This window comes from Homo sapiens, chromosome X (genome assembly GCF_000001405.40).
Source record: "Homo sapiens chromosome X, GRCh38.p14 Primary Assembly".
NCBI classification, from domain to species: Eukaryota; Metazoa; Chordata; class Mammalia; order Primates; family Hominidae; genus Homo; species Homo sapiens.
Window position 1 is genome coordinate 72,641,191 of NC_000023.11, and position 17,131 is coordinate 72,658,321.

A 17,131-nucleotide genomic window follows, 5' to 3' on the forward strand; every position below is an offset into this window, starting at 1 on the left:
GTCACTATGAATTAGTTCGTCTTTGTAAATAATCATCTGGCAACATGTAACAAGAGCTAAAAAGCTGTTCACAAGCTTATCCAGAATCCCTTTACTGAGAATATACAATTAAGAAAACAGTGGTCTATACAAAGGCATTTATAGAAGGATAAAAATTCTTGAAAATATTCAGCTAATAATCAGGAAACAATTACTTTGATTTGATGAAATACTATATAGCTATTTCAATATGTGGAAATGCATCACGAGAGAATAAGTGAAAACAAACAGAACACAAGTGAATATAGGCATGTTAAAGATAACTATTAAAATGTATCTATATGCACTAAGATTAGAAAAGAATTAGCATTACATAAAGATTTGAACTTAATATTTTAAGTTCTTACTTTCACAAAGTTGATTAATCTCATAATTTAAAAAAATAAAAAAAATGTTTTGGAACTGACAATGAAATACTGAGCATTTGAGGGGAGAAAGAGAACTCCGTTTAGTTAACATATATAAACAAATACACCTGTTAAAGAAATAGCCCTTTTTCCTTCATGGAATTATGGTTGTCATTTGACGTACCCTTAGGGCAATTTTTTTATTGTGAAACTGTTGCAATAATAGAATTTTGAATAGTCACTCATCTGACTGATAAGTCATCAGATGTTGCCTCATCTATCACGCTTTTCCTGACTTCCCCAGGCAAATCTATCCCCTTTCTTCTGTGTTTTATATGTAACACCGTGGTCATAGCATTTATAAGATTGTACTGTGATTATTTAGTTGCATGGCTATGTCTTCCATAGCATCTAGCCCAGTGCCTGGTACATAATAAGTGAGCAATAAATGCTTATCAATGAATGAATGAAGCAAATGAAAGAACGTATCAGGAAGATAAATGTCCACTTGTCACTTGAGTCCTTGGAATGTTTGATCATCATTAAGTTTTTATTTCCTTTGGCTAGAAAATAAGAACTTAGTAAGAGGCCCAAGATGGAGTCTAGGTTTTGAAAAAGTAAATAGTAAGGAGATTGCTTCTATTTGTTGGAGAGACCTGATGTGAGGCAGGCAGATTCCATAAATGATGGCCCAGAGCTTAGAAGTTACCTGTTTCCCAGTAAGATATGCCGATTTAGAATAATAGATGCAATGAGGCAATGGGTAAAATTAACCTATTAACTTTTGAGTGAGAGCCAGAGAGAATCAGGTCAAAATCACCAACAGGACTTGCATAAACCCATTACTGCAGAGACTTCTAAGAGTTACAAAGAAGGTGACTGTAAGATCAACTAGTACTCAAGTGGGTAAGATGTTGGCTAAATAGGGAAATACCTTCCTTATCTCAAGGGATTTAGTGCTAGTGGACTAGTATCTGGAGACTAGAAGTGCATTATAGGTCTGGGGTGACAGGGAATGGCCAAAAAAAATAAAAACAGGAAGCAGGTTCTGGGAAGGGGTGAGGTATGTAACCCACCTAGCAAAGCATCCACCCAAATCAGCCTCAGAAGTTTCAGGAGCCTTGACTTGGTATTTACCTCAGTTAGGGTTGAGTAAATAGAGGGAACCAGGAGTATTTTATAATATTCAAGCTAATTTGTGGCTAGATTTTAGAAATTTATTAGGATCTGAGACATATTCAACAAATTTGTTAATTTCTTTGTGTATATATTTTAGTTTTTCATTATCTTTTTAAAGCAAAGTTTCTTTAGAAAATTCTAATCATGTTATATTTGAATTTTTAGGAAAGGGACATTCCTACATCATAGCTAAGATGGAAGAAAGAAATCCATATACTCCTAAAGCCAGAAGCCATGTTAATAGCTCCGGAATGCAAGGAGTTCAAGCCTTGTTGGCATTAAATATATGTTCCTAGAGACAGACAAAAGTCAGCTCTGACTCTTGGTCCTTTCCTCCTTGGTTGATTCCCTCTCAATTTAGACAAAGAAATTAAGTGACTGGAGTTACGTGCCAGAGAAAAGGGAAGGAGACTGGTTTTAAGCTGGGAATACTTGCCTTAACTGTAATTACTAACATACCATTCTTGGGTGATAAAAAAGTACACATACACACATACACGCACACACACACACGCGCGCACACACATATACAAACTAACTTCTGGGTTTGTAAGTGGCAATCCACTACCTAAGATCCAATCTTTTACAAATCTACTCCCTTGTGGTTTAAGATTGTATTACTTTTCTATTGGTTCTATAACAAATTACCACAAACTTGGTGGCTTAAAACAACACAGATTTATACTTCTACAGTTCTTGGCATCATGAGTCCAAAATGAGCATTATGGGACTAAAATCAAAACCAAAGTGTCAGCAGGGTTGATTCCTTCTGGAGGCTCCAGGGAAGAATCTATTCCTTGCCTCTTCCAGCTTCTAGATGATGTGGGCATTCCTTGGCTCATAGCCTTATCACTATAATCTCTTGCTTCTGTTGTCACATCTCCTACTTTTATAGTCTGGTCTTCCTCTGATTCCTTTTATAAGGACACTTGTGATTACATTTAGGGACCACCTGGGTAATCCAGGATAAGCTCCCTATCTCAAATGAGTCCATTTGGCCATATAAGTTAAGGTTTATAGGTTCCAGGAATTAGGACTTGTATATCTTTGGGGAGTCATTATTCAGTCTTCCACAAGAGTAGTTTAGAATTTCTTTTAGATAACAATATAGTAATTTGTTTAATGCAAAAAATCTATCACTAAGTTTAATATGTGAATTAATTAAAAAAATAAGTACTAATTAAAAATAAGTATTATATTAAGGAATCTTTTATATTATCAACTAGTTCATTAAATGACAAAGTATAAAAGACCTAAAAACAAGTTCCTTGGCTATCATTCCATATAAAATAAGCAAGTATTTGAAAAAGAGGTATAGGCTCCAAGAAAGGAGAGAACATGTTATTTAAGCACACACTTGGAATAAAGATACAATATTGGCTGATAATAGTCATGCCTTATGTACCCAAAGGGTTCATAAAACACACCTAAAATTATCAGGCCTGCTCAGAATAGAGAAGGTAAGAAAATTGGATTCTAGAGACTCTAAATTCCTTCTCAGATCCAGCTTAATAAAGCAATACACAATCATGAAGAAGAAAAAAGGATGGAAACCAGCCTATAATGAATAATGCTTTGATTCTAGCAGGCTAGCCAATCTCCTTACCTAGGCTGGAATAAATGTGGCTGAGAATACGAGCTGGTTGTACTCTGATGGGGTATACCTCAGCAATGGTCTCCACGTAAATTCCCTTGTCCTTCAAAATGGTCTTGATTTCTTCTGTTTCAGCTAGAATGGAGACTAGAGGAGACAAAGAAGATGAGGTCAACAGAAAATTTTATTTCAATAGCAACTTAACAATCTCTCAAGTTATATAATTTCTTTTAAAGAGAAAAAAAGGAAATGGGAGGAAATGAACAGTTATTGAGGAACTTTGATAAAATAAGTATCATGCTAAATAATATTATCTAAAAGGAAAAGGAAAATGAAAAGATCTCAAGACTAGAGCATTAGATTTTGCTTTTTGCCTAAATACTTATGTGCTCCTAGAGAATACCACACTCTTTTTATATCTAAGATTCCATGTTTAAATGGGAGAAAAATCCATCATGAGATTTGGTATAGCTTTGGTAAAAACTGATTCCCCGAGTTCTTTTGTATCAGTAAACCTAAGGTCAGAGCCAGGTATGTGGGGGTAATAAAGAACACCCTAATGACAAGAGTTGCCTATAGCTAGAGAATGATAGAAGGCATGGTGAATTGGGGATAACAATTTGAGTCATCAACATATAGAAGGTATTATAGTTGAAACTGTGTGTTTTTTAGGCAGCAGGTAGCGGGTGCTGGGGAGAGATGGGGGATGAAACTTCTCTAGATTCAGAGCCTGACAAGCCTGGACAGCTCTCTTTTCTTCCTCTTATACTCCTGTCACTGAAGTAGGAAGCCCAACTACAAGAGAGGAGGCTAGGCCAGCTTCCTGATTCTTTTTTCACTTTCGCTATATGGAACAGACACCTGGCTGGGGGCCAGTAATCCAATTGAGGCTTTAGCTGTCTTGACACTAAGCAACTGTGGCAAATGTGCCCTCTACTCCTGCTCCTCTAGTGCTGGTAGATGTGATGGATTGTTCACAGGAAAAAGAATGCACTGCTTGGCTTACCATTATTTTCTACATTGAGTTTTTGAAGCAAAGGCTTAGTTAACAAAGTGCTACTTTGCCTTCCTTTGCCATTATCCTTTGTGTATTTTTCTATCTTGGGAACCTCATGCTAATGGGCTGCTGTTGTCTGGGCCAGGATAGCAGGATATGTTGATCACAGAGTCCCCTGGACATAACACCATCTTGATTACTTCTAACTGAAAACATGAAAATAAAAGAGATTCTTCAGGGAAAAATATGCAGAGGAAGAATGATAGGGGGCTGAGGACAGTCCAGGAAAAAACATTTGGCAATTCATTCATTCATTAGTAAACATTTATTAAGTACCTCAATGGATGAGGTGCTATGCTAGTCACTAGGGATACAGAAATGGATAAATTAGTCTTTCCCTCAAGGAGCTCACAGTGTAACCGAAGTGGCATACACATGGATTGTAAAATGACCTGCTAGGTAAATAGAGATAAGTGCACAAAACTTTATGAGACCATCCAGGAGTGACACCTAGGTAGTGTGGGGTTGGGAGGAGTAGTATCAGGAAAGGCTTCTGCAAAGTGTTGATGCCTAAACTGAGTTTGAAATAATGAATAAGTTAGCTAGGAGAAACAAGGGATTAGGAAGGATATAGCCCTTCTAGGAAGAGAGTCCAGAATGAACTTATCAAGCACAGAGATGAAAAACAGCATGGCTGCATGTATAGAGGGAGGTGGGAAGAACCACATACACTTCAATATTGCTGTAGCATAATATACCTTGCATAGTGGCAAAAGAAATGGATCTGGAAAGATAGACAGGAGTTAGAGCATCGTGAAGGGCATATGCATCACTTGAAGGATTTTGTATTTCATCTTTGGGCCATGCTTTCCAAACTGCTTTCTACTGAGCCTTAGGATTCTTCATGGGAATTGGTTGTAAGAGTAGAGGGGACTGAAAGACAGTCAAGTGAACAATACTCTGGGGCCCCAGGAGTACCTTCAACCCAAGCAACTCATTTTTTTGTTTTATAAAATATTTAGAAAATTCTTATTTAGTGCCTCTTATGTGCTAGGCACTGCCATATGTTAAGGACATGATCCCTACATGGAAAAAATGAGACGGCTATAGAGTCCTCCTAGAGGCCTGAATAGAAGTTAACCTGCAACAGGATATGGTAAAGGTAAGGAAGAAATTGTTCCAGACAGAAGAAATAGCATGGGCAAAGGCTCAAGGGAACAGAAAACAAGGCAGAGCTAGGAATTATAAAAAGCCCTTTATAACAGGAACATGTAGCATAAAGGGGCAGTGATAAAAAATGAAGCTGGAGATGGGGTCGGGGCTAGATCTAAAGGGTCTTGTAAGTCATATTAAGGAGACTGCCAATGGGAAGCCCTTGTAGAGGCATAATCAGAGGAATACCATATTAATACCTGTACCTTAAAAATAGTACATTCAGATTGACAGAGAATAAACTGATAGACTGTAGTAAGACAGAGAGACCAGCTAAAAAGTTACTACAGGGCCAGGCGCTGTGGCTTACACCTGTAATCACAGCACTTTGGGAGGCAGAGGTGGGTGGATCACCTGAAGTCAGGAGTTCGAGACCAGCCTGGCCAACATGGTGAAACCTCATTTCTACTAAAAATAAAAAAAATTAGCCAGGTGTGGAGGTGCGTGCCTGTAATCCCAGCTACTCCGGAGGCTGAGGCAGGAGAATTGCTTGAACCCAGGAGGCAGAGGTTGCAGTGAGCTGAGATTGCGCCACTGCACTCCAGCCTAGGCGACAGAGTGACTCCATCTCAAAAAAAAAAAAAAAGTTACTACAGTAATGCAAGGAAGAGATGTTGACTACCTCCATTAGGATCAAGATATTGGTACTGGAGAAAACTGGATGGATCTCAGAATTATTTAGGAAATAAAGCAGCCAGAACTTGTTAACTGTTGAATGTAGGAGATGAGAGAGAGGATTCCCTAGGTATTTACTTGTGTAACTGGGAGGATGGTGTGTCATTTAATGACACAGGCATATAGGAGGAAAAGCAGGTATGGGTGATGTAGTACTAGGAGGGTATAGCTGAATAATTTTAGACATGTTGAATAAATTTACAGGGCAAGTGAGACACCCAAGTGAGGCTACCTTAAAGGAAGCTGATACAGATTCAGGAGTCATTAGCATAGAAAGAGATGAGATGGGTCAAGGAGAATACATAGAGAAAAGGAGAAGCGGACTTAGAATATAACCTTGGAAAATGCCAACATAAAAGACATGGGCAAATGAAGAAAAGCTGGGGGTGAAGTGGAGGAGTTCTTACATCATGGCTTGTATTTCATCTATGGTATAGGAGGTGAGATCATCTTCTGAGAGTGAGGGAAGAAGTAAGAAGGTGGAAAGAGGGAAAAGGGAAGAAGGAAAAGGTTGGAATAGGAGGAGGCTGAGGAACAGAAAGAAATATTTATATAAGCAAGAGCAGTGGGCTAAGGACAGAATTCTCATAAATACTAATAGTTAGGGGGCAAAGAAGAAGAGGAAGACCAGAATGAGAAAGAAATGTGCTTAATCTAGGTTGAAGGAAATTCAAGAGAGTATGGCATCATAGAAGACATGGGATACAGATTAAATACTCCAGTAAGATACAGATTAAAAAGTACCTACCAAATTTGGCAATACAAAGGTCACTGGTAACTTAAGCAAGATCATTTTCATAGTAGTAAGCCAGACTACAAAATACTGCAGAATAAAGGGAAGATAAAAAAGTGGAAGTTTGGATGAGAAAGAAAGAAGCTATATAGTGTAACTAGAGGGAGATGAACATGTCAGTAGACTAAACAAAATAGAACCAACAGAATGGGAGAGTTTGAGGATTCCAGGAAAGAGTAAGTTTCTAGAGAATGCTGGGGAAGAAGATAATGATCAAACATCAGAAGGAAGACTTGTCCTTGAATAGGAGAAGAAACCCTTTTCCTGAGATTGCAGAAAATGAGGCAAGGATAGGTAAGACTGTAGGGGTGGGGAGGGCTGAGACACTGACAAAGATCAGAATATTGTCAGGCATGAAGCAGCAGGCCAAGAATTAGGCTGAAAAAAAGAGGTGGGGATTGAAAACAGAGAAGGTGTGGAATAGTGGTTGAGAAGTATGAAAATGCTGACTAACAAGAACAAGGATGAACAGGAGGCACTGTAAACCTAGCTGAGTTGGAGACCACGATTTCCAGTGCCACCACTCTGCTCATTTGTGTCTTTTTTTTTCCCCAATAGCTTTTTAGCAGGCCAGGTAAAGGATCAGAAAATGCAGACTGTAACACTGACCTGGGGCTGTGATTTTTCGAGTGGTTCTAATAGAAATTATGGTGCATTGGTGACTGGGAGATTTAGATGAACAACCATGAGGTAGAGAAGGGTAAACTAGGGGAAAATAGAAACAAGGGTAAAGGGAAGAAAAAGAAACTTGAAATAATGTTATGACTATGATCACAGAGTAGAATATTGGAATTTCAGGTATCTGAAGTGAAAGAGCCTTAAAGTTTGGTCCTTTGAGTGAATGGCTAAAAGTATAGGTAGAAGGAAAGGTCACTAGAGTTATGGATATCTAGAACTTTGAGACTGAAGTGTTAGACTGCACTGACGTCAATGCTAAAATCTAGTTCTATGGCAGGATTTGGAGAGGAAGAGGAAGGCTGTAGCCAGGCCTCAAAGTCTTCAAAGAATGAATTAGAGCAACCAGGAGATCAACATAGACAGGTGGAATAAACCTCAAAGGAGAACAAGATCTCTCATGGGAAGGGAAGAGTAATGACTTTTATATAATGTTTGCTATATACATTGATAAGCAAGAACTACCTGTATGACCACATGGGATGCCAAGTATAAGAAAATTTAGAAAACACACGAGATTATTTTCCATATAGAACCAACCCCAAAGTCAAGTGATTGGAGACATCTCAAAGGAGTTTCACAACACCACATTGGATTGTGATGTTAGAGAGTAAAAACTTACCTCAAGTCTTCTACCCTAAGAGACTAGAATAATGGTGATATCATTGAGAGAAATAAGGAAGGTAGAACGATTTGCATTTCTTAGGAGAGGAAAAGGATGGGATGGAGACAAAAGAGGTCAGTTTTGTGTTTGAAATGTAAATGGCACAGAAGTTTTATAGATATTGGGACTAGAATTCTTAACATGTTTATAGAACTCAGCCTAGAGTTCTGCAGAAAGTAGATGCCCCAAATTTAAGTAAATTGTTAGGAATAAAAACAAAAGTTTGGAGTATTCTCCAAAGAGGTAATAGTTGGGGCCATGGAAGCAAATTTACTATGAAGGAGGCAGGCTTAGCTACCTAATACAGAGTGTAAATACAGAAAGACAAGAGTATAAGACTAAGTGCAGCCGGGCGCAGTGGCTCGCGCCTGTAATCCCAGTACTTTGGGAGGCCGAGACAGGCAGATCACGAGGTCAGGAGTTCGAGACCAGCCTGACCAACATGGTGAAACCCCGTCTCTACTAAAAATACAAAAATTAGCTAGGCGTGGTGGTGCGCGACTGTGATCCCAGATACTCAGGAGGCTGAAGCAAGAGAATTGCTTGAACCCAGGAGGTGGAGGTTGCAGTGAGCCGAGATTGCCCCATTGCACTCCAGCCTGGGTGACAGAAAGAGACTCCCTCTCAAAAAAAAAAAAAAATACTAAGCGCAGAACCATTAGAAGGATATATAAAGAAAGAAGTACAGTAGAAATAGCACAGAAGGAGTGGTCAGAGAAAAAGCAGAGATAACCAGGAGGCTAAAATGTTATGACAATGAAAAGAAAATAATTTCCAGATATAAGGAGTGGTTAAGGGTGTCAAATAATATTTTGGAGTCATCTGACATAGAACATCATTCATTTGTTTATTATTAAGATAACCAGCATTTTGAAACCAAACCGAACAAAGTTCATTGTATACATTTTGAAGCCTAATAAAGTGCAACATATAGAATAAAGTCATAATTTACTAGCCTAAAGATCTCTGCCCATAACCAGACCTTTAATATAAAGTTTCTTCCACTGGGAATAAGAATACATACCTTGAACCACAACATCGGGCTTCGGTACAGTAGAAAACCTGCGATTCAGGGGATCAATTTCTCCAGGGGCTAAAAATCCCTAAAGAAAAACCATAAAAAGACAGATTATTAAGTCTCAAAAGAGAAACTAATACTTGAGGGAAAACAACATCCCTATGCCCATAACCTTGCACCATAACATTCAAGAGACAGGTGTAGAAAGGAAACAAATGCCTTCACTGTATGAAAATGTTTGAATTCCCAAATTCACACCACAATTCCTTTTATCCAGAGTTAATTGCTATTGGCTGCCACAAATGCTTTTTTAGGTAGGGTATAAATATGTAGGGTATAATTTGTTTTCTTTTTTTGAGACAGGGTCTTTCTCTGTCACCCAGGCTGGAGTGCAGTGGTGCAATCATGGCTCACTGCAGCTTCAACCTCCTGGGCTCAAGTGATCCTCCCACCTCAGCCTCCCAAGTAGCTAGGACCACAGGCGTGTGCCACCACGCCTGGCTAATTAGTTTATTCATGGAGACAAGGTCTCACTTATGTTGCCCAGGCTGGTCTCCTGGACTCAAGCAATCCTCCCGCTTTGGCCTCCCAAAGTGGTGGGATTATAAGCATGAGCCACTGCACCCAGCTGGGTATAAATTATAAATAAACAAAGTTTTCTGGTTATTCCTCTATCTTCTCTGGATATACATATGATTAGATGATTAGATCACACAGCTTATCAGTAATTTAAGCCATTAGTCCTGCTGTATTCTCATTTGTTCATGTATCTACTATGCCTTCTGCACATCAGAAATCTTTTGACTTGAGTTTCTGCCCTTTATGAAATGGGATGAACTCACCTATTTTTTCCTTAAGAATACAAATCACTGGCCGGGCGCAGTGGCTCACGCCTGTAATCCCAGCACTTTGGGAGGCTGAGGAGGGCGGATCACCTGAGGTTGGGCTTTCGAGACCAGCCTGACCAACATGGAGAAACCCCATCTCTACTAAAAATACAAAATTAGCCAGGCATGGTGGTGCGTGCCTGTAATCCTAGCTACTTGGGAGGCCAAGGCAGGAGAATCATTTGAACCCGGGAGGCGGAGGTTGTGGTGAGCCGAGATCGTGCCATTGCACTCCAGCCTGGGCAACAAGAGTGAAACTCTGTCTCAAAAAGTAAAATAAAATAAAATAAATTTTAAAAAAAGAAAAAAAAAGAATACCAATCACTGTGGTATTCTTTTTATCAATGCCTTTACTTTATTTTAATTGAATGAGAGAGTCACCAGGTAAGGATTACTTAAACAAACCATTCTGCCCACTTTTGCTAGACTCATTTAGTAATGTCGACTAAGAGTAATCAAACAGCCATGGCCACAGCCACACAAGGAAAATGAACAAAACAGCTGCAAAAATCAGTGGTTATACATAAACAGGTCAAAGAGTCTGACTCAGATAGGATAGTTAAGTCCCACTCTTGATCCTCTAGGAGCCTGGGTTATATCTTATCAAAATAACATAGAGTGGGGAAGTAGACTTGCCAGATGATATGAAAAACTTCTGAGAAACAGAATGCCTCTGTGCAGGCTCAAAATGTCACAAAGAAGGTGGACACAAAGTCAGAAACTCCCAAATGCCTCATTAAGGGCAATCTCAACAGAATCTGATATAAGGAACATTTAGAGAGACCCTTAACAAAATACAAACAAACATAAAAACCCAAGCAAAGAAAAAAAAAGTCATGATGTTCCTAGTCACTTATCATGGCACCTAAAAATATCAGTTAATTTAGTTAAAGAATGAAACATGTTGCTTGGAAGCATTAGCACTTAATCCATTATCAGTAATTAACTAGCTAAGCACAAATGCATCTGTTAGTCACCAGGCAGGGCACTGAGGGAAGTTTTGAAAGGGATAGATCTGGGGCCTGAGCAGTTCCAAATACAGTGCCAAAGTAGGGAGCCCCGGGCAGCAGGAGGGACATGGTTGCCAGGCAGCAAGAGCTTTTTGTGAGGGTTGGCCATGCTCCCTACTCTGAAGACCTGGAGGAAAACTATAATTAAGGCAAAGTGCAAAAGGCAGAAGACATCCTTCAGATTTAATGAGCTACTTAAAAATCTGATTATTATGGTGACTTAAGGCAGAAAAAAGTGGGACAGCCTTGAAGATTCCTCTTACCTCTGCCATCAAGCTTCCTAAAATGTATAGAGACTGACCCCACATGTGAGGCAATTTCCCCATGGGGACTCGGTCCACAGTGTGAGGATTCTGATATTCTTCATCGACCTAAAAGAAAAGATGAAGAGGCCAGATGAGGAATAATAGAAGGTTTAAGATACTGGATAATAAAAAGGTGGACTGGATTGTAATTTATACCCTATGTAGCTACATATGCAATGCACTGAAAAGTGAAGCACTATCACTATAATCTAGGGCAGTGCTCCCCAACTGTGATGTGCATACAGATCACCTGAGGATCTTGTTAAAATGCAGATTCTGATTGAGTGGGTATGAGGTAGGGCCTGAAATCTATTTCTAACAAGCTCTCAGGTGGTGCTGCTGATGTTGCTGGGAGCTTATTCTACTCATTCTCACCGGAATGGAAGACTATTCTCTTCCATGTCTAATGCTCTTTTGCAGTGGAGAAGAGGAACAATGTTACACCCGACTGGCATTTTGGGAAAATGACAGTCTGAAAACAAGACATATTCATTTTCCAAGACTGATCTATTAAAACAATCCGGGATTACTGGCCTAAAAATAGAGAATACCAAATCTTGAGAGTCCACACAGAACATCATCCTAGTTTTTCCTAGTGATCTCTACATCATTCTCAAGATTAAGGTTTGGTCTTGTCCTTGTCTGACTGTGCAACAGTACCATCATTGAGACTGCTTTAAAATTTTATTTTTGAAGAAATAAAATCATACTTATGTTGTCCTGTACCTAAAGACAAGCTTTCAGAACAACAAAATAAGATTAAAAATTATTTGACTCAAATGAGGTAGTCTGATCAAGGTACTGCTCCTCTTCTCTATCAGCTACATGTTATGGCACTGTCTGACTCACCCTGTCAGGAGGAACACTGTACAGCTCTGGCAGAAGTGGGACTCCATTTTTGCCCTTGATGAGGACTGCTTCAAGAGCCTCTTTATATTCTTGAACCTGCAGATAAAAGAAAGGCAGGAAAAAAAGACTTACAGAGAGTCCCTTTGGGGACCCAGGAGAAGGTTGCAGCCAAAGAAGGTCCTATTGCAAAGGAGCTTATTCACCCAGTAAAATAGAAAGGAAAGGGTATTTACTAAATGCTTGTTATAGGCCAAATATTATGCTAGGAGTTTTGCATACTTTAATGCATTTAACTTTAAAAACTATCCTAGGAGCTATGTGTAATTAAGGCCTTTTTACAGGGAAATTATCTCAAAGAGGTTGTAAATTTGTGGAAGATCAGAGCAAGTACACAGTTGAGTCCAGGGTGTAGCCATGGCAGTCTGCTTCCAAAGGCCTGTCTTGTTCCACTATGTATATCTTAAGTATAGCTTCTAGATTTGAGGATGTATTGTCTTAAAACTGCATTTCTACCTGCCAAATTAGGTTCTATTATGGTCAAGTTTATGTTCTGTGCTTAACCATTTGCTAAAGCTTAGCAATATATAAAATGTAAAAAAAAAAACAAAACCCAAAACTGTAATTTATGATGAAAAAAAAAAATAGTTCTGCTATAACACTTTCTTTGTAAACAAATTTGTTCCAATGCTTCTGATATATTAGGGAAAAATTTGAGTATAACATGAATTTCATGTTTGGTTATGCACAATTTCATACTGAGAATGTACTCAGCTGAACTGGGCCATGTAAGAATACACAAAACACACATGCATATATCTCAGGAGAATGATGAACTGTACCTATTCACATCTGTTTTTACTACTTTCTGTCCAATTTCAGATAACACTCCTTTCACCACTACTGAACTTACAAGCTGCAATCCTCTGATGGCCACCCTGGATATGCAACCACATGCCTTGCCCTCTCTTCAGTTTTCTACCTCTTTCCTCTCAGCCTTTTAAAAAAATTTTCCTCTCTGTTTTATGCTCTTTTTCTCTGTTTTCTCTCACTCTTTTTAATCCCTCTTTTGTTCTCTTCCTCTTGCACATTATGTAGTGGGCATGAGAGCCAGGTGGGTGAGCTGGTGAGAACTTGGGTACACACTTGCACAAGCAAACTTTGGGTCTTTTTTAAGGTGAAAGTACGGTAACTATTGTGGTATTTATGTATTTCTTAACTATTTACCATGTATAAAGCCATGATACTATTATTTTTATTAGGTTCCTATCATTTTGTATGTGTTACATTTTATGTGCTGCACTCCTTACCCCATTTTCTCATAAGCCCTGTAGTTTTTATTTCTTAAATATGCATAGCATGGTGATTTTTTTTTTTTTTTTTTGAGACGGAGTCTCGCTCTGTCGCCCAGGCTGGAGTGCAGTGGCGCAATCTCGGCTCACTGCAAGCTCCGCCTCCCGGGTTCACGCCATTCTCCTGCCTCAGCCTCCCAAGTAGCTGGGACTACAGGCGCCCGCCACTACGCCCGGCTAATTTTTTGTATTTTTAGTAGAGACGGGGTTTCACCGTTTTAGCCGGGATGGTCTCGATCTCCTGACCTCGTGATCCGCCCGCCTCGGCCTCCCAAAGTGCTGGGATTACAGGCGTGAGCCACCGCGCCCGGCCAGCATGGTGATTTTTAAAGAATGCATATGGCCTGGGTGTGGTGGCTCATGCCTGTAATCCCAGCACTTTGAGAGGCTGAGGCAGGAGGGATAGCTTGAGCCCAGGAGTTTGAGACCAGCCTGGGCAACACAGCGAGGCCCGTCTCTACAAAAAACAAACAAACAAAAATAGCTGAATGTGGTGGCATATGCCTATAGTCCCAGTGACTCAGGGGGCTGAGGTGGGAGGACTGCTTGAGCCCAGGAGATCGAAGCTGCAGTGAGCCATGATCACGCCACTGCACTACAGTCTGGGCAACAGAGTGAGAGACCCTGTCTTAAAAATGACAACAAAAAAAGATTGCATACGTATCATTATAGCAGAACTGACTGTACGTTGCATTTACAATATGTCTTTATCTGTGAAATTCAAATACTTTTAGGAATATATTCTTTAATGAATGGGGAAAAACTATTTTCATTATGTATAGAGAAACTGAAGAAGTCAATGATAATAGTTGGGCACTCAATGGTCAGGAGTGAAACCAAAAATTTTTTTTTTTTTTGAGACGGAGTCTCGCTCTGTCGCCCAGGCTGGAGTGCAGTGGCGCGATCTTGGCTCACTGCAGGCTCCGCCTCCCAGGTTCACGCCATTCTCCTGCCTCAGCCTCCCGAGTAGCTGGGACTACAGGCGCCTGCCACCACGCCCAGCTAATTTTTTGTATTTTTAGTAGAGACGGGGTTTCACTGTTAGCCAGGATGGTCTTGATCTCCTGACCTCGTGATCCGCCCGCCTCGGCCTCCCAAAGTGCTGGGATTACAGGCGTGAGCCACCACACGCGGCCGAAACCAAAATTTTTTTAAAAAGAAGAAAAAAATAATCCAGGTCTTTTTACTCTTAGTGCCCTCAACTAGTAGCCTGTAGGGAACAACTGTCTCTCCCCTATTAGGAAGACTTCCAACTGGACACAGGGTTGGTATACTATTAGCTGTAAGAAGATATAACAAAAACATTCTGCTGAAAACTCTTTCCCCAGCTTATTACCTGTTCTGCATTGCCACTGAAGACCCCATCAAGAATAAAGTATGTCCAGAACAATGGCCATTCACACTCAATGTTTTCAAATAGCTTCAGCTCAGCTGGTTCATAGTACAGACGATTGGGATCCTAGTAAAAACACAATAAAGTCTGTCATCACTCAGAGGTTAGATGTATATCTTTAGCTCAGAGGTATTATAATACGGGTTTTCATTACTGATTGTTTTAGAGAAGGTGTTCAGGAAGCAGAGCATGTACATACTCCCTTCCCTTAGCAAGTACTCTATGATGCGACTTCTAACTAGCGGAATTGGGATAGCAATGATATCACAAGAGGGTGTATGAAGAAATAAGATTGGTTTGCAATAAAGTTCAGTTTGGTTTTATATTTGTTAAGTTTTTTGTAATAATAGGACATACAAGTAGAAATGTTTAGAAGGGCAACTAGAGATGAGGGTTTGGGAATCATTTTCCTAGAGGTGACATATGAAGTACAAGTTACAGATGAGCTTTGTGAAATAGCACTAAATGAAATGAGCAAACTGCTCAAGAATGGAATCTTGGTAAACCCTCAGAGTGGGGCAAGGGAATAACAGAAAGAGAAGAATCAGGATAATCTAGTGGGAAAATTAAAATAGGAAAAGAATTTCAAGAGAATTTAGGGCTAGGTAAAAAGTGAGGTACCATAGAGAAGTCAAGGAGAATAAGGATTCAGAAAAGGCTATTGGATTGGTCATTTAAGAGCTTATGATGATGTTTCAGAACATATAATTTTAGTACACTGATAGGGGAAGAAGTCAAATTCAAGGCTAAAAAATAAAGTGGAAGAGGAAGTAGACCAGAAGAGTTTGAGCTCGATGATTTAAAAAAATCCATAATGTCTCTCAAACATCAAATCTAAGCTTTAAACAATGTTTCCATTACCAGTGAAAGTGCTTCATATTGACTGTTCAATCCCTTTAATGATACTGAATTTTTCTCATTGATATTTCCAAGGTGAACTTTTGACTAGTTGAATAAAGGGAACGTAAACTTTTCAAAATCAAGTACTGTTTAGAACTAACCAACTACAAGAGGTGGAATGTGGGGCCAGAAAGATCTACTGATGGAAAGATTTTTCCCTTTGTAATTGTTAAATATTTTGGGAGAGATACTTTGAGACAATGCAAATACTATTTCTGTATAAGCTTTCATCCACTGATTTTACCATGTATCTGTAGTTCTTTCCCGAAACTAACCAATGCAAGAGGTGGAAGGACTACACCTTCCTCTATTTTACTTAATCCAGAAAGGCCTACAAACTGAGAACTTGGCAGCTAAGCCAAGTTCAACAAATATAGCAAACATCAGTTATCATTATCCTACTTAGTGATCTCTATAAGTACCATCAGTGAGGTAAATATTTTCTCTGAATGAGGCTGCAGGTAGAAGTGGCCATTCTACCTTGGATTCATTTTGGAGAAAAGAAACCTACCTCTTTAGGAGTTTTATATCCATCTCGTAGAAAGCGACAGCAACCATAACGACCCTGGGAATACAAAGAAAAAAGGTCAGCAGCTTGTACACTGGTACGGCCATGTAATTAATCAGAAATACATCCTTGCAACATCTATATGTACCACCAACCTATCACCGATAAAGGCATAATGCTTAAAACCAAAAAACCTATAATAATATAATAATGCTTAAAACCAAAAAATCAATCCAGCAGCAGAAACAGATTTCAGCAATGTGATTTCAAGTGAAGGCAAAGTGACAGGCTCTTCACTAAAGCAGTGTTCCTAACAGTATCCTCTCCATGGCTATCCACCTAGGGTAAGTCTGACAGCATAATTACTAATCTATGTGGTCCTGTTCATAAGACACATACAGCTCATAAGTCATAAGACTCCATAAGCTTTTTAAAAAAACACATATTTTTTACATTTTGAGATAATTTTAGATTTACAGAAGAGTTGCAAAAACAGTACAGAGAATCCCAGTATTCCTGTCAACCACCATTCCGTTATAGTCACATCTTATATAACCATAGAAATCTGCCAAAACTAAAAAATTAACCTTGGTGGCTGGGTGTAGTGGCTCATGCCTGTAACCCCAGCACTTTGGGAGGCTGAGGCGGGAGGCACCTGAGGTCAGGAGTTCGAGACCAGCCTGGCCAATGTGGTGAAACCTTGTCTTTACAAAAAAATACAAAAATTAGCCAGGCGT

General features: G+C 39.4%; 1 protein-coding gene across 8 annotated transcripts in view; it reads right to left on the reverse strand.

Annotated features, from left to right (window-relative positions):
• PHKA1 (phosphorylase kinase regulatory subunit alpha 1) overlaps window positions 1-17,131 on the reverse strand; it is a 135,493-nt gene that overhangs the window by 62,377 nt on the left and 55,985 nt on the right. For all 8 annotated transcript variants that reach the window (NM_001440788.1, NM_001440787.1, XM_047442160.1 and 5 more), the window contains 6 exons: window positions 16,398-16,451; window positions 14,930-15,052; window positions 12,245-12,340; window positions 11,354-11,461; window positions 9,200-9,278; window positions 3,172-3,306 (listed from right to left, as the gene is read on the reverse strand). In NM_001440788.1, coding sequence (NP_001427717.1) covers window positions 3,172-3,306; window positions 9,200-9,278; window positions 11,354-11,461; window positions 12,245-12,340; window positions 14,930-15,052; window positions 16,398-16,451 — 595 coding nt within the window. The remainder of the gene's footprint in view (window positions 1-3,171; window positions 3,307-9,199; window positions 9,279-11,353; window positions 11,462-12,244; window positions 12,341-14,929; window positions 15,053-16,397; window positions 16,452-17,131) is intronic.